At 40.3% G+C, this 25,531-nt stretch overlaps 1 protein-coding gene across 10 annotated transcripts in view, besides 1 other annotated feature; it reads right to left on the bottom strand.

The window, feature by feature from the left end:
* Window positions 1–25,531, bottom strand: part of RABGAP1L (RAB GTPase activating protein 1 like) — an 835,789-nt gene that overhangs the window by 376,217 nt on the left and 434,041 nt on the right. The gene's annotated exons all lie outside the window — the stretch shown is intronic.
* Window positions 23,008–23,609: an enhancer, noted in NCBI's record as "NANOG-H3K27ac-H3K4me1 hESC enhancer chr1:174564621-174565222 (GRCh37/hg19 assembly coordinates)". NCBI's record gives its function as "activates a minimal SCP1, AML or CMV promoter by ChIP-STARR-seq in primed H9 embryonic stem cells {active_cell/tissue: H9 hESC(primed)}" and the evidence as "EXISTENCE:reporter gene assay evidence [ECO:0000049][PMID:30033119]".

Here is a 25,531-nt window from a genome sequence, read left to right as displayed (position 1 = left end):
TTTCTCTAAACTTCTCTTCTCGCTTCATTTCATTCATTTGATTTTCCATCACTGATACCCTTTCTTCCAGTTGATCAAATCGGCTACTGAGGCTTGTGCATTCGTCACGTAGTTCTCATGTCTTCGTTTTCAGCTCCATCAGCTCCTTTAAGCACTTCTCTGTATTGGTTATTCTAGTTATACATTCGTCTAAATTTTTTTCAAAGTTTTTAACTTCTTTGCCTTTGGTTTGAATTTCGTCCTGTAGCTTGGAGTAGCTTGATCGTCTGAAGCCTTCTTCTCTCAACTCGTCAAAGTCATTCTCCATCCAGCTTAGTTCCATTGCTGCTGAGGAGCTGCGTTTTTGGAGGAGGAGAGGCACTCTGACTTTTAGAGTTTCCATTTTTTCTGCTCTGTTTTTTCCCCATCTTTGTGGTTTTATCTACCTTTGGTCTTTGATGATGGTGACGTATAGATGGGGTTTTGGTGTGGATGTCCTTTCTGTTTGTTAGTTTTTCTTCTAACAGTCAGGACCCTCAGCTGCAGGTCTATTGGAGTTTGTGGGAGTTCCACTCCAGTCCCTGTTTGCCTGGGTATCAGCAGTGGTGGCTGCAGAACAGCAGATATTGGTGAACAGCAAATGTTGCTGCCTGATCATTCCTCTGGAAGTTTTGTCTCAGAGGAGTACTCGGCCGTGTGAGATGTCAGTCTGCCCCTACTGCAGGGTGCCTCCCAGTTAGGCTACGCGTGGGTCAGAGACCCACTTGAGGAGGCAGTCTGTCCATTCTCAGATCTCCAGCTGCGTGCTGGGAGAACCATTACTCTCTTCAAAGCGGTCAGACAGGGACATTTAAGTCTGCTGAGGAATCTGCTGCCTTTTGTTTGGCTATGCTGTGCCCCCAGAGGTGGAGTCTACAGAGGTAAGCAGGCCTCCTTAAGCTGCGGTGGGCTCCACTCAGTTCGAGCTTCCCAGCCGCTTTGTTTACCTACTCAAGCCTCAGCAATGGCGGGCGCCCCTCCCACAGCCTCGCTGCTGCCTTGCAGTTTGATCTGAGACTCCTGTGCTAGCAATGAGTGAGGCTCCGTGGGCATAGGACCCTCCAAGCCAGGCGCGGGCTATAATCTAAAGGTGTGCCATTTGCTAAGACCATTGGAAAAGTGCAGTATTCGGGTGGGAGTGACCCGATTTTCCAGGTGCCATATGTCACCCCTTTCTTTGACTAGCTGCACCCACTGTCCTGCACCCATTTTCTGACACTCTCCAGTGAGATGAACCCAGTGCTTCTGTTGGAAATGCGAAATCACCCGTCTTCTGCGTCGCTCACGCTGGGAGATGTAGACTGGAGCTGTTCCTATTTGGCCTCTTGGCTGCACCCCCTGGTAATGTATATGTTTTAAAAATCCTTCAGGATCAACAGGTATTCTATCTGGGGATGTGGATTTTGAAAAAGACAATTAATTTTTATGCCAATTCAGGTTATATAATTGCCATTGTATGCCCTTTTATAACAGCACATTTCCATTAACATAAGGTTTTAGTTACCTAAAAGTAGAAGATGCATGGATCACAACAACATCAATACAAAAGAATAGGAATGGCTAAGAACAGAAGGATTTGTTCCTGAGAGACTATAACAGTTCTAGTTCTCAATTATAAAGGTCACTTCAGTAAATTAAATATCCTCATTCCATCCAGTAACTGTATGATGGAGCATTTTTTGTTTTACAAAGCCTGGTTAATATTACAACTTTCTTTCCTGATACTCTACTTTCTTCATTTTTCACTATTCGAGAGGGTCAGTTGCTGTTTCTGCTACAGATTTTGTGATTATACTTCCTCCAGAAGTAGGCATAATATTTGGAGATAGGGCAAAGCTGAAACTTGATTAATCCCTTTTAGAATAAAGCCAAATCATAAATAGCAGTCTAGAGATTTTTCTTCTACATTTTTTCTCTATATATCAATTCAGAAATGAGGATTACCATTCTAAGAACTGGAAGACTCAGGTAAATATACATCCTAGCTGCTGGACACAGTATATTCCTTTTTAGTTCCTTTGCTGGCTCCTTCTCTACTTACTTCTTGTCTTCTGCTTTGCTTACTCTCCACACTTTCAAGGGAAATCTTATCCATTCCTGTGACTTCAACTACCATTTATTTTATCTCTCCTGGATCTTTATTAAAGTAGGTGTCATACCTTACTAATTATAAGAATCACGTGAGATGCTTTTTCAGAACATAGTACCTCCAGGCAGTCTGCATTTTTAACAAGTGTCTATGTAGCCACCAGCAAAAGGCCACAAACTGTTACTTGAGAATTACTGGTCTAACAGAACTTTCATTCCACATTTAAAACTGAAGTATAAAACTCAATTCAGAATTATCCACATAGTCAAGTATCCTTTTTATTCTCAACCGCAATGGAGTGAACTTCCACTCCCATCACTAAGCTGACATACAAATAATTATTTTGGAAGTCTTGTCTCCCTTTTCCTCACTTAATCAATTCGTCCTCTAGGCTTTCACTCTGCTATTTTAATTAACTAGTGTCCATGTCTGAATACCCCCATTTGATTGCCACCTCTAGGTCGACCATGACCAATTCTTATTTACTTTGTTTCCCTGGTGCCTGAGACTTTAGTAGGCACTAGGTAAATGAGTACTGAATAAATCAGAATTAGAGAAGCAGGCAGGGTAACCATCTATTCCCCAAGATGGAGACAGACTCAAGTTTTAAAATGTTTGCTTTGAAGTTTAAATTCTCTCCCAACATCATTTAGACAACAGGAGTAGCAAAAGCTAATAATTTGTACCATAACCAAAGATAATGACAAGGATTCACAGACTTCCAAACCAAAATTTCACAGCAAACCGCATACCAACGGGGGGCACCCAAAATGGCCGAATAGGAACAGCTCTGTCTACAGCTCCTAGCATGAGCGACGCAGAAGACAGGTGATTTCTGCATTTCCATCTGAGGTACCAGGTTCATGCACTAGGGAGTGCCAGACAGTGGGCACAGGACAGTGGGTGCAGCGCACTGTGTGCGAGCCAAAGCAGGGCAAGACATTGCCTCACTCAGGAAGTGCAAGGGGTCAGGGAGTTCCCTTTGCTAGCCAAAGAAAGGGGTGACAGACGGCACCTGGAAAATCGGGTAACTCCCACCCGAATACTGCACTTTTCCAACGGGCTTAAAAAACGGCGCACCAGGAGATTATATCCTGCACCTGGCTCGGAGGGTCCTACACCCACGGAGTCTCGCTGATTGCTAGCACAACAGTCGGAGATCAAACTGCAAGGCGGCAGCGAGGCTGGGGGAGGGGCGCCCACCATTGCCCAGGCTTGCTTAGGTAAACAAAGCAGCCGGGAAGCTCGAACTGGATGGAGCCCACCACAGCTCAAGGAGGCCTGCCTGCCTCTGTAGGCTCCACCTCTGGGGGCAGGGCACACACAAACAACAAGACAGCAGTAACCTCCACAGACTTAAATGTCCCTGTCTGACAGCTTTGAAGACAGCAGTGGTTCTCTCAGCACACAGCTGGAGATCTGAGAATGGACAGAATGCCTCCTCAATTGGGTCCCTGACCCCTGACCCCTGAGAAGCCTAACTGGGAGGCACCCCCAAGTAGGGGCAGACCGACACCTGACATGGCAGGGTACTCCTCTGAGACAAAACTTCCAGAGTAACGATCAGACAGCAGCATTTGTGGTTCACGAAAATCCGCAGTTCTGCAGCCACTGCTGCTGATACCCAGGCAAATAGGGTCTGGAGTGGACATCCAGCAAACCCCAAAAGACCTGCAGCTGAGGGTCCTGTCTGTTAGAAGGAAAACTAACAAAACAGGACATCCACACCAAAAACCCATCTGTACATAACCATCATCAAAGACCAAAAGTAGATAAAACCACAAAGATGGGGAAAAAACAGAGCAGAAAAACTGGAAACTGTAAAAAGCAGAGCACCTCTTCTCCTCCAAAGGAACGCAGTTCCTCACCAGCAACGAAACAAAGCAGGATGGAGAATGACTTTGACGAGTTGAGAGAAGAAGGCTTCAGACGATCAAACTACTCCGAGCTACAGGATGAAATTCAAACCAAAGGCAAAGAAGTTAATAACTTTGAAAAAAATTTAGACAAATGTATAACTAGAATAACCAATATAGAGAAGTGCTTAAAGGAGCTGATGGAGCTGAAAGCCAAGGCTCGAGAACTACGTGAAGAATGCAGAAGCCTCAGGAGCCGATACGATCAACTGGAAGAAAGGGTATCAGTGATGGAAGATCAAATGAATGAAATGAAGCAAGAAGGGAAGTTTAGAGAAAAAAGAATAAAAAGAAATGAGCAAAGCCTCCAAGAAATATGGGACTATGTGAAAAGACCAAATCTACGTCTGATTGGTGTACCTGAAAGTGACGGGGAGAATGGAACCAAGTTGGAAAACACTCTGCAGGATGTTATTCAGGAGAACTTCCCCAATCTAGCAAGGCAGGCCAACATTCAGATTCAGGAAATACAGAGAATGCCACAAAGATACTCCTCAAGAAGAGCAACTCCAAGCCACATAAATGTCAGATTCACCAAAGCTGAAATGAAGGAAAAAATGTTAAGGGCAGCCAGAGAGGAAGGTTGGGTTACCCACAAAGGGAAGCCCATCAGTCTAACAGCAGATCTCTCGGCAGAAAGTCTACAAGCCAGAAGAGAGTGGGGGAAGCCAGAAGAGAGTGGGGGCCAATATTCAACATTCTTAAAGAAAAGAATTTTCAACCCAGAATTTCATATCCAGCCAAACTAAGTTTCATAAGTGAAGGAGAAATAAACTCCTTTACAGACAAGCAAATGCTGAGAGATTTTGTCACCACCAGGCCTGCCCTAAAAGAGCTCCTGAAGGAAGCGCTAAACATGGAAAGGAACAACCGGTACCAGCCACTGCAAAATCATGCCAAATTGTAAAGACCATCGAGGCTAGGAAGAAACTGCATCAACTAACAAGCAAAATCACCAGCTAACATCATAATGACAGGATCAAATTCACACATAACAATATTAACTTTACATGTAAATGGAATAAATGCTCCAATTAAAAGACACAGACTGGCAAATTGGATAAAGAGTCAAGACCCATCAGTGTGCTGTATTCAGGAAACCCATCTCATGTGCAGAGACACACATAGGCTCAAAATAAAGGGATGGAGGAAGATCTACCAAGCAAATGGAAAACAAAAAAAGGCAGGGGTTGCAATCCTAGTCTCTGATAAAACAGACTTTACACCAACAAAGATCAAAAGAGACAAAGAAGGCCATTACATAATGGTAAAGGGATCAATTCAACAGGAAGAGCTAACTATCCTAAATATATATGCACCCAATACAGGAGCACCCAGATTCATAATGCAAGTCCTGAGTAACCTACAAAGAGACTTAGACTCCCACACAATAATAATGGGAGACTTTAACACCCCACTGTCAACATTAGACAGATCAATGAGACAGAAAGTTAACAAGGATATCCAGGAATTGAACTCAGCTCTGCACCAAGCAGACCTAACAGCCATCTGCAGAACTCTCCACCCCAAATCAACAGAATATACATTCTTTTCAGCACCAAACCACACCTATTCCAAAATTGACCACATAGTTGGAAGTAAAGCTCTCCTCAGCAAATGTAAAAGAACAGAAATTAAAACAAACTGTCTCTCAGACCACAGTGCAATCAAACTAGAACTCAGGATTAAGAAACTCACTCAAAATCACTCAACTACATGGAAACTGAACAACCTGCTCCTGAATGACTACTGGGTACATAACAAAATGAAGGCAGAAATAAAGATGTACTTTGAAACCAACGAGAACAAAGACACAACATACCAGAATCTCTGGGACACATTCAAAGCACTGTGTAGAGGGAAATTTATAGCACTAAATGCCCACAAGAGAAAGCAGGAAAGATCCAAAATTGACACCCTAACATCACAATTAAAAGAACTAGAAAAGCAAGAGCAAACACATTCAAAAGCTAGCAGAAGGCAAGAAATAACTAAAATCAGAGCAGAACTGAAGGAAATAGAGACACAAAAAACCCTTCAAAAAATTAATGAATCTAGGACCTGGTTTTTTGAAAGGATCAACAAAATTGATAGACCACTAGCAAGACTAATAAAGAAGAAAAGAGAGAAGAATCAAATAGACGCAATAAAAAATGATAAAGGGGATATCACCACCGATCCCACAGAAATACAAACTACCATCAGAGAATACTACAAATACCTCTACGCAAATAAACTAGAAAATCTAGAAGAAATGGATACATTCCTTGACACGTACACTCTCCCAAGACTAAACCAGGAAGAAGTTGAATCTCTGAATAGACCAATAACAGGCTCTGAAATTGTGGCAATAATCAATAGCTTACCAATCAAAAAGAGTCCAGGACCAGATGGATTCACAGCCGAATTCTACCAGAGGTACAAGGAGTAACTGGTACCATTCCTTCTGAAACTATTCCAATCAATAGAAAAAGAGGGAATCCTCCCTAACTCATTTTATGAGGCCAGCATCATCCTGATACCAAAGCCGGGCAGAGACACAACCAAAAAAGAGAATTTTAGACCAATATCCTTGGTGAACATTGATGCAAAAATCCTGAATAAAATACTGGCAAACCGAATCCAGCAGCACATCAAAAAGCTTATCCACCATGATCAAGTGGGCTTCATCCCTGGGATGCAAGGCTGGTTCAATATACACAAATCAATAAATGTAATCCAGCATATAAACAGAACCAAAGATAAAAATCACATGATTATCTCATTAGATGCAGAAAAGGCCTTTGACAAAATTCAACAATGCTTCATGCTAAAAACTCTCAATAAATTAGGTATTGATGGGACATATCTCAAAATAATAAGAGCTATCTATGACAGACCCACAGCCAATATCATACTGAATGGGCAAAAACTGGAAGCATTCCCTTTGAAAACAGGTGCAAGACAGGGATGCCCTCTCTCACCACTCCTATTCAACATAGTGTTAGAAGTTCTGGCCAGGGCAATTAGGCAGGAGAAGGAAATAAAGGGTATTCAATTAGGAAAAGAGGAAATCAAATTGTCCCTGTTTGCAGATGACATGATTGTATATCTAGAAACCCCAATGTCTCAGCCCAAAATCTCCTTAAGCTGATAAGCAACTTCAGCAAAGTCTCAGGAAACAAAATCAATGTGCAAAAATCACAAGCATTCTTAAACACCAATAACAGACAAACAGAGAGCCAAATCATGAGTGAACTCCCATTCACAATTGCTTCAAGGAGAATAAAATACCTGGGAATCCAACTTAAAAGGGACGTGAAGGACCTCTTCAAGGAGAACTACAAACCACTGCTCAAGGAAATAAAAGAGGATACAAACAAATGGAAGAACATTCCATGCTCATGGGTAGGAAGAATCAATATCGTGAAAATGGCCATACTGCCCAAGGTAATTTATAGATTCAATGCCATCCCCATCAAGCTACCAATGACTTTCTTCACAGAATTGGAAAAAACTACTTTAAAGTTCATATGGAACCAAAAAAGAGCCCGCATCGCCAAGTCAATCCTAAGCCAAAAGAACAAAGCTGGAGGCATCATGCTACCTGACTTCAAACTATACTACAAGGCTACAGTAACCAAAACAGCATGGTAGTGGTACCAAAAGAGAGATATAGACCAATGGAACAGAACAGAGCCCTCAGAAGTAACACCACATATCTACAACTATCTGATTTTTGACAAACCTGAGAAAAACAAGCAATGGGGAAAGGATTCCCTATTTAATAAATGGTGCTGGGAAAACTGGCTAGCCATGTGTAGAAAGCTGAAACTGGATCCCTTCCTTACACCTTATACAAAAATTAATTCAAGATGGATAAAAGACTTAAATGTTAGACCTAAAACCATAAAAACCCTAGAAGAAAACCTAGGCAATACCATTCAGGACATAGGCATGGGCAAGGACTTCATGTCTAAAACACAAAAAGTAATGGCAACAAAAGCCAAAATTGACAAATGGGATCTAATTAAACTAAAGAGCTTCTGCACAGCAAAAGAAACTACCATCAGAGTGAACAGGCAACCTACAGAATGGGAGAAAATTTTCGCAACCTACTCATCTGACAAAGGGCTAATATCCAGAATCTACAATGAACTCAAACAAATTTACAAGAAAAAAACAAACAACCCCATCAAAAAATAGGCAAAGGACATGAACAGACACTTCTCAAAAGAAGACATTTATGCAGCCAAAAAACACATGAAAAAATGCTCATCATCACTGGCCATCAGAGAAATGCAAATCAAAACCACAATGAGATACTATCTCACACCAGTTAGAATGGTGATCATTAAAAAGTCAGGAAAGAACAGGTGCTGGAGAGGATGTGGAGAAATAGGAATACTTTTACACTGTTGGTGGGACTGTAATCTAGTTCAACCATTGTGGAAGTCAGTGTGGCGATTCCTCAGGGATCTAGAACTAGAAATACCATTTGACCCAGCCATCCCATTACTGGGTATATACCCAAAGGACTATAAATCATGCTGCTATAAAGACACGTGCACACGTATGTTTATTGTCCACTATTCACAATAGCAAAGACTTGGAACCAACCCAAATGTCCAACAATGATAGACTGGATTAAGAAAATGTGGCACATATACACCATGGAATACTATGCAGCCATAAAAAATGATGAGTTCATGTCCTTTGTAGGGACATGGATGAAATTGGAAATCATCATTCTCAGTAAACTATCACAAGGACAAAAAACCAAACACTGCATGTTCTCACTCATAGGTGGGAATTGAACTATGAGAACACATGGACACAGGAAGGGGAACATCACACTCTGGGGACTGTTGTGGGGTGGGGGGAGGGGGAAGGGATAGCATTAGGAGATATACCTAATGCTAAATGACGAGTTAATGGGTGCAGCACACCAGCATGGCACATGTATACATATGTAACTAACCTGCACATTGTCCACATGTACCCTAAAACTTAAAATATAATAATAATAAAATAAATTTAAAAAAAGAAAAAAAAAACGCATACCAAAATGTCTTTTCTAATATCAAAGATGATATATAAAAATAATTTTACATATTATATAAACTATGAACAAAACAAAATGGATCTCTATCTTAAAACAGAAATGGAAAATCCTACTATTATTTGATTCATCCAAAATAATTTAAAAAACTGTTTGGGGTTTGCTCATTGAGCTTTACTTCATTTTATATGAAAAGAAGTACAAAAGATAAAGATACATTCAATCCCTGCATTATTTTAAAATCACTCTTATTAAAGTGACAGATGAATTACATAATTAAGGTGTATAAAACACTGTTAGAAGCAAATTACAATAGATTTTGTTTTTAAATCTCAGGTATCTGTCTTAGTTTACATGTTAACTTTTTCACAGAAAAATAGCTTGAAGTAGTAGATTGACATGAAGGTTAGGTAAGGATCAGAAAATTCCCATTCAGTGTACCTCTGGATTATAGTGCTTAACAGGCTCAGGTTCTTTGCTGTTCTTAATACCATATGAGACAGAAACAGTTTATGGTTACAGTCCTCCTCTCGTTTGAAATTCCCTTCTACCCCTTTAATCAATATACATTTTTGCTTTTGATATGTATGTCATGAGGAACAATGATTTTTATGTAACTTTTTCCTAATTGACTCTCATGCAGCTAAGAGAACAATTTTAAAGTCTGAATTTGTAATAAAAAGAAAGAAAATGCAACTGCTGTTAAGAAACTGTAAAAGTAACTTCACTTATTCCTTAAGTATTAAGTTGCCATTTGTGGAAGGTATTTTGACTTGATTCAGTGGCTCTAGGGCTAAGAGAAGGTTTCTTTCCAGGTATTTGTCTGGCCTTGCCTTTTTATTTAGAACCAGTTCTACAAATAAAAACTCTTTCATTTTTCCAAAGTTTTAAGTGGTTGATAACAAATTACATATACAAGACTGTTCTTACTTTGCATAGTGATTAGTTATAAGTGTTAAGGTAATTAGGCATAAGTGTTAAGTAGTTCACAATATGAAAATATTATTAGTGTTGAGGTAATTCGGTATAAGTGTTAAGTAGTTCACAATATGAAAATATTATGAAAAATAGAGAATATTATTCAATATATTGTCTAAGTAGACAAACTAACCATTGTTTGGGCCAGCTAAACCATGTGTTCTTTTTTGGCACTACCATCTTTTAATAGGTCAGGATATTATCACTTTATGCCTAAACTATTTCAAATAATCAATTTCCTAAACTTTCTGCCCTTCAATCAGTCTGTACAGTACTTTTAGGTTAATCTACCTGAAGCACTATTTTGTTCCCATATACCATTCAAATCCATCTGTAATATTGTCCCGTTACCCTCAAATAGAAAAAAAGGACTTATTCCATTCCATCTGAATCACATTCCATTCTGCAAAGTTGTGCTTTTCTTTAAGCTTCAAGGCTTTTGTGTAATTTCCTCTGTCTGAATGATCCTCCATCCCACATTTTCCCCTACTGAAATCTTGCTCATCTATACAGATCATCAGATTCCTTCCATAGTGCTTTCATAATGTAAAACACCCAGGTAAAAACACCTTTTTCCCTTATGTTACTTACTGTAATACCAAGTTGTATATACTTATATAATACTTTTTTACATATTGCCTTGGGCTAAGACATATCTTACTTCCACTAACTGAAAGATAAGCTCCTGGCCACTACAGGCAGCACCTTATAGTAACACATCTAGTACCCTAAATGTAGTAGGGGCTGAACAAATATTTGTTGAATAATTATTATTATAAACGATCCATATGATAGAAAGAAGAAAATGGTGAACCAAGGCAGAAAGGCAGAGTATGAAGAAAAAGGTTATATTGCTGCTTAAGTGGAAGGTGAGTCATGCCTCACACTTAGGCACATATGAAAGCTAGGATGGGGCAAATTTTTCTTTGTTGGGCACTCACATCTGCCCTGCGAAATGCTTTGAGCTGTCTCCCTAGGAAGAGAGTTTATAAAATCCATTGTAAGGCAGAATGTTATCCAATGGAACTACTCCCATAATCAATGCCATGATTCACGACATTTGTACCCACATGAAACAAATTATCTCATTGTTCAAAATCACACTTTCGTAAGGGTTGCTTGGAGGTAACCCTAGAGCAAGTCATCACACTGTAGTTCTCAATACTATCTTCCTGATGTATAGGAAAGAATAACCAAAGAAGCTTTTACACAGGTTTCTAAAACACACATTTTGCTTAAATCTTTATTCAACTCAGCCTAGGCTAAAATGCTTTATGAAGAGGATGTTATGCTCCAATTATCCAAATAGCCACTGGAAATAACACTCTTCCAAGTTAGTATTTCCTGAAAATCATGGCTGTGATATTGTATTCAATCTCCTAATGTAAGTGATACAGCCCTGAAATAAAACTGGAATAGTGTAAACCAGATAATTTTTCACAAATGCAGCAAATTTGAGAGCCACAGAGAGCACAAAGGAGTGGTGGCTGATTTTGAGTCTTTAAACAACAAAGATGCAGCATTGTGATCCTGGGTATCAGCCCAGAGGACACCTCTGCTTTTGCCACCAGAGGAATGTCTGTAACCCAACAGTTAGGGAGAGATGGAGATGAGACTGGGCTAAGTGGGGCAAAAGAGTGGTCTGGCCCTACCCTCTGAGAGCAGGTATTGCAACACCACAGGACCACTGCCCGTAGAGACTGAAGGCAACTTTGGCAAAGTGATGGGGGAAAAAGATTACATAAGTGGAGGGCATGATAATATTTCATGAAAAGAATTCATAACTTGTTAGCTCTTTGTTTCTATTTTACTGAAGGATTTCAGTAGGGCAACTACTACAAGAATCAATGCCCCTATGAAGAAAATTTAGGGGTGACAGTTAAAATATAAAATGCCCAGTGAAACCACATGGAATTTAATACTGCATTGAACATACTGATATTAAAAATTAGTCCTTAATTATATGAAACAAAAATGTAAGTGGGTGTCTTGTATTTTTATTTGCTACATCTGGCAGTCCTACCCAGATTACTAATATCATAGTGTTGGGAAAAGCAATTCCCAAGTATCTTCATAAATACTTGGGTTTTATTCTTGATTAAACAGGTTTTAATATTTATTTATGAAAGTTACCATATTTAATATAAACTAGTCACATTTTACTTCAGACGCTAGCTGTGTTACATTTATTTAATTAAGAGGCAAAAATACTAGTTAAAAGCTACAGATACTGCTATGAATAGAATCAGAAAAATCTGATCTCAGCTGTAAGACAGAGGAAAATGAGGACTTTGAGATAACAATGGATAGACATCATCATTAGTGAGAATACTAAGCCTGTGAGGCACAGAAAAACTGAATTTTGGCTTGGAAAACAAGATCAAATTAAGATATACCAGACTGGTCTGAGGTTACCAAAGACATGAAGGCAGAGAACAGATAAAGATTCCCGCTAGTGAATAAATGACAAAGATACTGAAAATGTCTGCTTTGTCAACACTGTCTCTCCTCTGATCAAATGCCAAATAAAGACCAACCAATTAACGTCTTAAAAAATGTTCTGGTCACAGAAGAAAGTAGCTTTAAAATTGGCATAATGAAATAAACCCGTGGTATGCCTTATCAATGGACAATTTATTTCTCTAGTATTGTCATTGCAAATAATGATGTGAAGGAGTATCAGGGCACAATCTGAAAGACAGTGGGTGTGGCAGGCTAGGGACAAGCACCTTTATATACAGCTATGAATTCAGGAAAAATCAAAATTTATGAGTTGCATATTTTAAACAATTAACATCTACACTTAGCCATTTGTAATTATTTTTCTGAAGGTTTTAAATTTTTATTGAAATTTCATAAACTAGTAGATACTATATGAGGAGTCTTCAAAATGTTGATGGATAGTGTACATTATTAAAAGCTATGCATGAATGTCAAAAAAATTTGCACCAAAATAAATTCTCCCTAACTTGTTATAACATGTCTAAATAGGATCTAGTCTGAGGCACTAAGAAGAATAAAACATAAATTTGAAAAGAGCCCCTTTCAGTGCAACATTAATTCCACCAAAATTGAAGCAAGAACAAACATCAAATTCAGGGTGAAGACTGAGTGTAAGAATGGTGAAATCAATCATGCTTTATGAAAAGTTTATGAGGACAATGCCCCCAAATAAATCATCAATTTACAAATAGAAAATTCGCTTTAAGAAGGAATGAGATGATGTTAAAGATGAAGCCTGCAGTGGCAGTCCATCCATATCAATTTGCAAGAACAAAATTATCTTGTTTGTGCTCTAATTGAAAGGGCCCAACAATTAATTGCAGAAACAAAAGCCAACACCACAGACATCTCAATTGGTTCAGCTTATATAGATCTGACTAAAAATTAAAGTTGAGTAAATATTCCATGTGATGGGTGCCAAAACTTTTGTGACCAGATCCGCTTCAGACAACAACAGAGATTTCAATTAAATTTTGAACAAGTGGAATCAAAATCTGAAGCATTTCTTCGAAGAATTGTAATAGGAGATTAAAAAAAAAAGGCTTTACAAGTATAATCCTGAAGACAAAGCATAATCAAAGCAATAGCTACCAGGAGGAGGAAGTGGTCCAGTAAAAGCAAAAGTAAACCAGTCAAGAGCAAAGATCATGGCAACAGGTGTTTGAGATGCTCAAGCCATTTTGCTTGTTGACTTTCTGGGAGAGATAAAGAATAACATCTGCTTATGATAGCATTTTGAGACACTTAGTCAAAGATTTAGCAGAAAAATGCCTAGGAAAGCTTCATCAGAGGGTCCCTCCTCACCATGACAAGTGTTCCTGCTCATTCCTCCCATCAAACAAGGTCAGTTTTACAGGAGGAGTTTCGTTTGTTTGTTTGTTTGTTTGTTTGTTTTGGTTTGGTTTTGAGACAGGGTCTCACTCTGTTGCCCATGCTGGAGTGCAATGGTGTGATCTCAGCTCACTGCAACCTCTGCCTCCCAGGCTCAAACAATTCTCCTGCCTCAGCAACCTGAGAAGCTAGGATTACAGGTATGTGCCACCACGCCCAGCAAATTTTTGTATTTTTGGTAGAGAGTGGGTTTCACAATGTTGGCCAGGCTGGTGAAATCCTGACCTCAAGTGATATGCCTGCCTCAGCCTCCCGAAGTGTTAGGATTACAGTTGTGAGCCACTGTACCCAGCCTAATTTTACAAGAGTTTTGATGAAACATTATTAAGCATCCACCTTACAGTCCTGATGTGGCTACTTCTGACTTCTTTTTGTTTTCTACTCTTAAAGTAAAGAGCACCCATTTTTCTTAGGTAATAATCTTACAAAGATGGCATTGACATGGTAAATTCCCAGAATCCTCAGTTTTTTAGGGATGGACTAAATGACTGGTATCATCACTTACAAAAGTGTCTGGAGAGAAGGTGGTGGAGCAAGATGGCTGAATAGAATCCTCTAATGATTATCCCCTCCACAGGAATACCAAATCGAACAACTATCCACATAATGAAGCACCTTCATGAGAATCAAAAATCAGGTACACAATCACAGTGCCTGGTTTTAACATCATATCAAGGAAAAAGGCACTGAAGAGGGTAGAAAAGACAGTCTTGAATTGCCAACAACATCACCTCTATCCCCTAGCATTAGCTGCATGGCACAGAGAGACAGTATGTGTGATAGGCAGAGGGAGAGGACAGTGATTGTGGGACTTTGCTTTGGAACTCAGTGCTATCTGTCACAGCAAAAGAAACACATGGCAGAATTCAGCCAGTGCCAATGGAGGGAGCATTTAGACCAGTCACAGCCAGAGGGGAATCATCCTTCCCAGTGGTTGGTATCTGAGTTCCAGCTAGGCCGACTGTGAACTAAAGTGCTTTGGGGTCCTAAATAAACATGAAAGGCAGTCTAGGCCACAAGGACTGCAATTCCTGGTCAAGTCTTGGTGCTGTGCTGGACCCTGAGCCAGAGGACATGGGGTACACACAAGCTATAAGACACCAGCTAGGCCAGCCCAGGAGTACTTGTGTCAGCTCTTCGCCAACACAAGGCAGCACAGCTCACAGCTCCAGAAGAAACTCCTTCCTTCTGCTTGAGGAGAGGAGAGGGGAGAGTAAAAAGGACTTTGTCTTGCAATTAGCACACCAGCTTAGCCACAGTAGAATAGGGCACCAAGCAGTGTCCTGAGGCCCACATCCCAGGATCTAGCTCGGGATGACATTTCTAGACACATCCTGGGCCAGAAGGGAACCTGCTGCCTTGTAGGGGAGAACCCAGTTCTGGCGGCATTCATCATCTGCATGGGCCTTGAATAAACATCAGTTGTAACCAGGCGGTAGTTGCTGTGGGCTTTGGGTGAGAACTAGTGCTGTGCTGGCTTCAGATGTGACCCAGCACAATACCAGCTGTGGTGGCCATTACAACAGGCTCTTTATACTTGAGGAAAGAAGAGAAAAGAGTGGGAAAGACTTTGTCTTGTGGTGGGGGTGCCAGCTTAGGTGGAGTAGAATAGAGCAGGAGGTAGAATCCTAAGGTTCCTGATTCCTGGCCCTGGTTCCCGAATGGCAGTTCTGGCCTTGAATGAAGATTGGCAATTACCAGGCAGTGGTCGCCTCCGGATTTGGACAAGACCCAGTACTGTGCTGGATTCGGGTCTGACTCACCACAGTCCAAGTGATGGTAGCCACCAGGTGCTTGTGTCACCCCTTTGCCAATACCAGGCAGCTCAGGATGGAGACGGAGACTCTGTCTGCTTTGGAGAAAGTAAAGAAAGAGAACAAGAGTCTTTGCCTCTTGTTCCAGAAAATTATCTTGGATCTTATCAAAGAACATCAAGGTGATCTTGACAAGTCTGCAAGAGTCATAGTGTTACTGGTTTGAGATGCCCCCTAATGCAGATATAGCTGTAGTGATCAAAGACTTAGGCCACAATACTCAATTCCTTCAGAATGCTTGGAAAATCTTCTCCAAAAAGACAGGAACAAACAAGCCCAGGCTGCAAACAATAAAACAAATACCTAACTCTTCAATGTCCAGACTCTAACAAACATCTATAAGCATCAACACCATCCAGGAAAACATGACCTCAAAAATGAACTAAGTAAGGCACCAAGGACCAATCCTGGAGAAACAGAGATAGTGGCTTTTCAGACAAGAGAATTCAAAATACCTATTTTGAAGAAGCACAACAAACTTCAAGACAACACAGAAAAAGAATTCAGAATCCTATCAGAGAAATTTAACAAAGAGATTACAATAAGTTTTAAATATCAAGCAGAAATTCTGGAGCTGAAAAATTCAATGGACACACTGAAGAATGTATCAGTCTCTCAATAGTCGAACTGATCAAGAAGAAGAAAGAATTAGAGAGCTTGAAGACATGTATCTGAAAATAAATAGTCAGAAAAGGCAAAAAATAATAATAAAAAACAATGGAGCATGCCTACAAGATCTAAATAATAGGCTCAAAAAGGCAAATCTATGAGTTACTGGCCTGATATAGTCTGACTGTGTCCCCATTCAAATCTCAACTTGAATTGCATCTCCCAGAATTTCCACGTGTTGTGGGAGGAACCCAGGTGGAGGTAATTGAATCATGGGGGTGTGGTCTTTCCTCTGCTATTCTTGCAGAGTGAATAAGTCTCACGAGTTTCCCCTGCTATTCTGGTGTAGTGAATAAGTCTCACGAGATCTAACGGGTTTATCAGGGGTTTCCGCTTTTGCTTCATTCTCATTTTCTCTTGCTGCTGCCACTTAAGAGGTGCCTTTAGCCTCCCAGCGATTCTGAGGCCTTCTCAGCAATGTGGAACTGTAAGTCCAATTAAACCTCTTTTTCTTCCAAGTCTCAGGTATGTCTTTATTAGCAGCATAAAAACAGACTAATAGAGTAAATTGGTACCCATAGAGTGGGGCGTTGACGAAAAGATACCCGAAAATATGGAAGTGACTTTGGAACTGGGTAACAGGTAGAGGTTGGAACAGTTTGGTGGGCTCAGAAGAAGATGGGAAAATGTGGGAAAGTTTGGAACTTCCCAGAGACTTGTTGAATAGCTTTGACCAAAAGCCTGAGAGTGATATGGACAATAAGGTCCAGGCTTACGTGGTCTCAGGTAGAGATGAGGAACTTGTTGGGAAATGGGGCAAAGGTGACTCTTATTATGTTTCAGCAAAAAAACTGGTGGCATTTCGTCCCTGCCCTAGAGATTTGTGGAACTTTGAACTTGAGATAGATGATTTAGGGTATCTAGCAGAAGAAATTTCTAAGCAGCAAAGCATTCAAAACGTGACTTGGGTGCTTTTAAAAGCATTCTGTTTTAAAAGGGAAACAGAGCATAAAAGTTCAGAAAATTTGCAGCCTAATGCAGTAGAAAAGAAAAACCCATTTTTCTTATTTATTTATTTTATTTTTAAATTATACTTTAAGTTCTAGGGTACATGCGCACAATGTGCAGGTTTGTTACATAGGTGTACATATGCCATGTTGGTTTGCTGCACCCATTAACTCGTCATTTACATTAGGTATTTCTCCTAATGCTATCCCTCCCCCTGCCCCCAACCCCACGACAGGCCCCGGGGTGTGATGTTCCCCACCCTATGTCCAAGTGTTTTCATTGTTCAATTCCCACCTATGAGTGAGAACATGCAGTGTTTGGAAAAACCCATTTTTCTGGGGAGAAATTCAAGCTGGCTACAGAAATTTGCATAAGTAGCAAGGAGCCTAATGTTAATTCCCAAGACCATGGGGAAAATGTCTCCAGGCCATGTCAGAGACCTTCGCAGCAGCCCCTCCCATCACAGGCCTGGAGGCCCCGGAGGAAAAAGTAGTTTTGTGGGCTGGGCCCAGGGTTACCTGTGCTGCGTGCGGCCTAGGGACTTGGTTCCCTGTGTCCCAGCCACTCCAGCCCTGGCTGAAAGGGGCCAATGTACAGCTCAGGCTGTGGCTTCAGAGGGTGGAAGCTCCAAACCTTGGCAGCTTCCATGTGGTGTTGAGCCTGCGGGTGCACCAAAGTCAAGAATTGAGGTTTGGGAACCTCCACCTAGATTTCAGAAGATGTATGGAAATGCCTGGATGCCCAGACAAAAGTTTGCTTCAGGGTGGGGCCCTCATGGGGAACCTCTGATAGGGCAGTGCGGAAGGGAAATGTGGAGTCAAAGTCCCAACACAGGCAGTGCCCACAGGGGGACTGCCTAGTGGAGTTGTGAGAATAGGGCCACCATACTCCAGACCCCAGAATGGTAGATCCACGGACAGTTTGCACCATGTGCCTGGAAAAGCTGCAGACACTAAACACCAGCCTGTGAAGGCAGCCAGAAGGGAGGCTGTACTCTGCAAAGCCACAGGGGTGGAGCTACCCAAGATGATGGGAACCCACCTCTTGCATCAGTGTGACCTGGATAAGAGACGTGGAGTCAAAGGAGATCATTTTGGAGCCTTAAAATTTGACTGCCTCACTGGATTTTGGACTTGCATGGGCCCTGTAACTCCTTTTTTTTGGCCAATTTCTCCCATTTGGAAAGGATGTATTTACCTAATACCTGTACCCCATTGTATCTAGGAAGTAACTAGCTTGCTTTTGATTTTACAGACTCATAGGTGGAAGGCACTTGCCTTGTCTCAGATGAGACTTTGGACTGTGGACTTTTGGGTTAATGATGAAATAAGTTAAGACTTTGCGGGACTGTTGGGAAGGCATGATTGGTACTGAAATGTGAGGACATGAAATTTGGAAGGGCCAGGGGCAGAAAGATATGGTTTGGCTGTCTCCCCATTCAAATCTCAACTTGAATTGTATCTCCCAGAATTCCCACGTTATTGTGGGAGGGACCCAGGTGGAGGTGATTGAATCATGGGGGATGGTCTTTCCCGTGCTATTCTTGTATAGTGAATAAGTCTCACAAGATCTGCTGGGTTTATCAGGGGTTTCTGCTTTTGCTTCTTTCTCATTTTCTCTTGCTGCTGCCATATAAGAAGTGCCTTTCGTCTCCCACCATGATTCTGAGGCCTCCTCAGCCATGTCGAACTGTAAGTCCAATTAAACCTCTTTTTCTTCCCAGTCTTGGGTATGTCTTTATCAGCAGCATGAAAACAGACTAATACATGGGGCCTTAAAGAGGAGGTAGTGAGAGGTAGACCAGGGTAGACAGCATTATTCAAAGAGATAATAACAGAAAACATTCCAAACCTAGAGAAAGATATCAATATTCAAGTACAAGAAGGTTATAAAACACCAAGCAGATTTAACCCAAAGAAGACTACCTCAGGGCATTCAATAATCAAACTCCCAAAGGTCAAAGATAAAGAAACAATCCTAAAAGCAACAAAAGAAAAGAAACAAATAACATACAATGGAGCTCCACTAAGTTTGGCTGCAGACTTCTCAGTGGAAACCCTACAAAACAGGAGAGTGGCATGACATATTTTAAGTGCTGAAGGAAAAAAAAACTTTTATCCAGTGAAAATATACTTCAAATATGCAGAAGAAATAAAGACTTTCCCAGACAAACAAAAACTGAGGGATTTCATTAATTGCTGACCTATCCTACAAGAAAAGCTAAATGATGTACTTCAATCAGAAAGGGAATGATGTTAATGGGCAAAAAGAAATCATCTGGAGGTCCAAAACTCACTGCTAATAGGAAGTACATAGACAAATACAGAATATGATAACACTGTAACAGTGGTCTGTAAACTACTTATATCTTCCATATAAAGATCAAAAGATAAAACTATCAAAAATAACTACAACAGTGTTTTAAGAGATAGTGTAATAAGATTTAAATAGAAACAACAAGAAGTTAAAAAGTGGGAGAGATGAATAAAAGTGTGAATTTTTATTAGTTTTCCTTCTGCTTTTTCGTTTGGTTTTACAAGCAGTGTTAAGTTGTCATTAGTTTTAAATGATTGGTTACAAAATGTTATTTGCAAGCCTTGTGGTAACCCTGAAATACCTACAACAGATACAAACACACAAAAATGGCAAGAAATTAAAACACCATCAGAGAGGAGAACCTTCACAAAAACAACAGAACGGGAAAAGGAAGGAAGGGAAGGAGAGAGAAAGGGAGGGAGGGAGGGAGAAAGATCATAAGGCAACCAGAAAACAAACAGCAAAATAGCAGGAGTAGGTCCTTAGTTTATCAATAACAATATTGAATGTAAGTGAACTAAAGTCTCCAATCAAAAGAAATGGAGTGGCTGAATGGATTAAAAAAATAAAAAAAAGACCCAATGATCTTTTGGCTACAAGAAATATTTCATCAATAAAGACACACATAGACTAAAAATAAAGGAATGGGAAAAGATATTCCATGCAAATGAAAACCAAAAAAAGGAGTAGCTACACTTATATCAGATAAAATAGAATTCAATATTAAAAACTATGAAAAGAGACCAAAAGGTCATTATATAATGATAAAGGGGTCAATTCGACAAAAGGATAAATAGTTATAAATTTATATGCATCAACACTGAAGCACCCAGATATATAAAGCAAATATTATTATAGCTAAGAAAGAGATAGACCCCAATACAGTAATAGTTGGAGACTTCAACATACCACTTTCAGCACTGGACAGATCATCCAGACTGAAAAATCAACAAAAAAATTGGACTTAGCACTATAAACCAAATGGACCTAATAGATATTTCATCCAGCAGCTGCAGAATACATATGCTTCTCCTCAGTGCATAGATCTCAAAGACAGACCATTTTTTTTTTTTTTTTTTTTTGAGACAGAGTCTCACTCTGCTGCCAGGCTGGAGTGCAGTGATGCGATCTCGGCTCACTGCAACCTCCGCCTCCCGGGTTCAAGGGATTCCCCTGCCTCAGCCTCCCAAGTAGCTGGGACTACAGGCATGCACCAACATGCCCAGCTAATTTTTGTATTTTAGTAGAGATGGGGTTTTCCCATGTTGGCCAGGATAGCCTTGATCTCCTGACCTCGTGATCTGCCCCCATCGGCCTCTCAAAGTTCTGGGATTACAGCCGTGAGCCACCACACCTGGCCTAAAATGTTTTTAAAACCTGAAATCATATCAATTATCTTCTCAGACCACAATGGAATAAAACTAGAAATCAACAACAAGAGGAATGTTGGAAACTATACAAACACATAGAAATTAAACACTATGCTGCTGAATGACCAGTGAGTCAATGAAGAAATTAAGAAGGAAATTCAAAAATTCCTTAAAACAAATTAAAATGGAAACCCAACACACCAATATCTCTGGAATACAGTGAAAGCAATACTGAGAGCAAAGTTTATACCAGTAAGTGCCTACATTAAAATGTAGAACAAAGAAATAACTAAGATGAAAGCAGAAATAAATGAAATTGGAAAGAGAAAAAGAACAATACACAAGATTAACAAAAGGTTAGTTTTTTGAAAAATTTTTCGAAAAGTTCGAAAAGTTTTTTGAAAACAAAATCAACAAACCTGTAGGAAGATTAAGAAAAAAAGAGAGAAGACAAATAAATAAAATCAGAGATTAAAAAAAAATTACAACTGATTCCACAGAAATTCAAAGATCATTAGAAGCTACTATCAACAACCATATGCCAATAAATCAGAAAACCTAGAAGAAATGGACAAATTCCTAGACACATATAACCTACCAAGATTGAACCAGGAAAAAATTAAAAACTCGAATAGACCCTTAACAAGTAATGAGACTGAGATGTAATAAAAAGTCTCCTATCAAGAAAAGTCCCAGAAAATGATGGCTTCACTGCAGAATTTTACAAAACATTTGAAGAACTAATATCAATCCTATTCAAACTATTCCAAAAAATAATGGAGGAGTGAATACTTCCAAACTCATTCTATGAGGGCAGTATTACCCTGATAACAAAACCAGACAAAGACACATCAAAAAAAGAAAATTCCAGGCCAACATTTCTGACGAACATTGATACAAAAAATCCTCAACAAAATACTAGCAAACCAAATTCAACAACACATTAAAAACATCATTCATCATGATCAACTGAGATTTATCCCCAGGATGTAAGGATGGTTCAACATATGCAAATCAATCAATATAAACATCATATAAAAAGAATGAAGGACGTAGACCATATGATCATTTCAATTGATACAAAAAAACCATTCAATAAAATTCACCATCTCTTCATGATTAAATTTAAAAAAACCTAAAAAAACTGGATAGAGAAGAAACATACTTCAACACACAATAAAAGCCATATAGAAAAGAACCACATCTACATATGCGTAAAACCTGAAAATCTTTCCTCCAAGATCTGGAACAAGACAAAGATGCCCACTTTCACCACCGTTATTCAACATAGTCCTGGAAATCCTAGCTAAAGGAATCAGATAAGATAAAGAAATAAAGGTCATCCAAACTGAAATGGAAGAAGTCAAATTATCCTTCTTTGCAGATGATATAATCTTATATTTAGAAAAACCTAAAGACTTAATCAAGAAATTATTAGAACTGAGAAGTAAATTACATAAAATTACAGGATATAAAATCAATATATGAAAATCAATAGCATTTAAATATGCCAACAATGAACAATCTGAAAAAGAAATTTAAAATTTAAGAATCCAATTTGCAACAGCTACAAATAAATTATCTAGGAATAACTTAACCAAAGAAGTGAAAGATCTGTACAATAAGAACTACAAAACACTGATGAAAGAAACTGAAGAGGAGGGAGGAACCAAGATGGCCGAATAGGAACAGCTCCGGTCTACAGCTCCCAGCGTGAGCCACGCAGAAGACGGGTGATTTCTGCATTTCCATCTGAGGTACCGGGTTCATCTCACTAGGGAGTGCCAGACAGTGGGCGCAGGCCAGTGTGTGTGCACCGTGCGCGAGCCGAAGCAGGGCGAGGCATTGCCTCACCTGGGAAGCGCAAGGGGTCAGGGAGTTCCCTTTCCGAGTCAAAGAAAGGGGTGACGGACGCACCTGGAAAATCGGGTCACTCCCACCCGAATATTGCGCTTTTCAGACCGGCTTAAGAAACGGCGCACCACGAGACTATATCCCACACCTGGCTCAGAGGGTCCTACGCCCACGGAATCTCGCTGATTGCTAGCACAGCAGTCTGAGATCAAACTGCAAGGCGGCAACGAGGCTGGGGGAGGGGCGCCCGCCATTGCCAAGGCTTGCTTAGGTAAACAAAGCAGCAGGGAAGCTCGAACTGGGTGGAGCCCACCACAGCTCAAGGAGGCCTGCCTGCCTCTGTAGGCTCCACCTCTGGGGGCAGGGCACAGACAAACAAAAAGACAGCAGTAACCTCTGCAGACTTAAGTGTCCCTGTCTGACAGCTTTGAAGAGAGCAGTGGTTCTCCCAGCACGCAGCTGGAGATCTGAGAACGGGCAGACTGCCTCCTCAAGTGGGTCCCTGACCCCTGACCCCCGAGCAGCCTAACTGGGAGGCAGCCCCCAGCAGGGGCACACTGACACCTCACATCGCAGGGTATTCCAACAGACCTGCAGCTGAGGGTCCTGTCTGTTAGAAGGAAAACTAACAACCAGAAAGGACATCTACACCGAAAACCCATCTGTACATCACCATCATCAAAGACCAAAAGTAGATAAAACCACAAAGATGGGGAAAAAACAGAACAGAAAAACTGGAAACTCTAAAACGCAGAGCGCCTCTCCTCCTCCAAAGGAACGCAGTTCCTCACCAGCAACAGAACAAAGCTGGATGGAGAATGATTTTGACGAGCTGAGAGAAGAAGGCTTCAGACGATCAAATTACTCTGAGCTACGGGAGGACATTCAAACCAAAGGCAAAGAAGTTGAAAACTTTGAAAAAAATTTAGAAGAATGTATAACTAGAATAACCAATACAGAGAAGTGCTTAAAGGAGCTGATGGAGCTGAAAACCAAGGCTCGAGAACTACGTGAAGAATGCAGAAGCCTCAGGAGCCGATGCGATCAACTGGAAGAAAGGGTATCAGCAATGGAAGATGAAATGAATGAAATGAAGCGAGAAGGGAAGTTTAGAGAAAAAAGAATAAAAAGAAATGAGCAAAGCCTCCAAGAAATATGGGACTATGTGAAAAGACCAAATCTACGTCTGATTGGTGTACCTCAAAGTGATGTGGAGAATGGAACCAAGTTGGAAAACACTCTGCAGGATATTATCCAGGAGAACTTCCCCAATCTAGCAAGGCAGGCCAACGTTCAGATTCAGGAAATACAGAGAACGCCACAAAGATACTCCTCGAGAAGAGCAACTCCAAGACACATAATTGTCAGATTCACCAAAGTTGAAATGAAGGAAAAAATGTTAAGGGCAGCCAGAGAGAAAGGTCGGGTTACCCTCAAAGGAAAGCCCATCAGACTAACAGCGGATCTCTCGGCAGAAACCCTACAAGCCAGAAGAGAGTGGGGGCCAATATTCAACATTCTTAAAGAAAAGAATTTTCAACCCAGAATTTCATATCCAGCCAAACTAAGCTTCATAAGTGAAGGAGAAATAAAATACTTTATAGACAAGCAAATGCTGAGAGATTTTGTCACCACCAGGCCTGCCCTAAAAGAGCTCCTGAAGGAAGCGCTAAACATGGAAAGGAACAACCGGTACCAGCCGCTGCAAAATCATGCCAAAATGTAAAGACCATCGAGACTAGGAAGAAACTGCATCAACTAATGAGCAAAATCACCAGCTAACATCATAATGACAGGATCAAATTCACACATAACAATATTAACTTTAAATATAAATGGACTAAATTCTGCAATTAAAAGACACAGACTGGCAAGTTGGATAAAGAGTCAAGACCCATCAGTGTGCTGTATTCAGGAAACCCATCTCACGTGCAGAGACACACATAGGCTCAAAATAAAAGGATGGAGGAAGATCTACCAAGCAAATGGAAAACAAAAAAAGACAGGGGTTGCAATCCTAGTCTCTGATAAAACAGACTTTAAACCAACAAAGATCAAAAGAGACAAAGAAGGCCATTACATAATGGTAAAGGGATCAATTCAACAAGAGGAGCTAACTATCCTAAATATTTATGCACCCAATACAGGAGCACCCAGATTCATAAAGCAAGTCCTGAGTGACCTACAAAGAGACTTAGACTCCCACACATTAATAATGGGAGACTTTAACACCCCACTGTCAACATTAGACAGATCAACGAGACAGAAAGTCAACAAGGATACCCAGGAATTGAACTCAGCTCTGCACCAAGCGGACCTAATAGACATCTACAGAACTCTCCACCCCAAATCAACAGAATATACATTTTTTTCAGCACCACATCACACCTATTCCAAAATTGACCACATAGTTGGAAGTAAAGCTCTCCTCAGCAAATGTAAAAGAACAGAAATTATAACAAACTATCTCTCAGACCACAGTGCAATCAAACTAGAACTCAGGATTAAGAATCTCACTCAAAGCCGCTCAACTACATGGAAACTGAACAACCTGCTCCTGAATGACTACTGGGTACATAACGAAATGAAGGCAGAAATAAAGATGTTCTTTGAAACCAACGAGA

Source organism: Homo sapiens, chromosome 1 (assembly GCF_000001405.40).
Source record: "Homo sapiens chromosome 1, GRCh38.p14 Primary Assembly".
NCBI classification, from domain to species: Eukaryota; Metazoa; Chordata; class Mammalia; order Primates; family Hominidae; genus Homo; species Homo sapiens.
The sequence above is the reverse complement of the archived record's forward strand: the minus strand, read 5'-3'. Positions and strand labels throughout refer to the sequence as shown.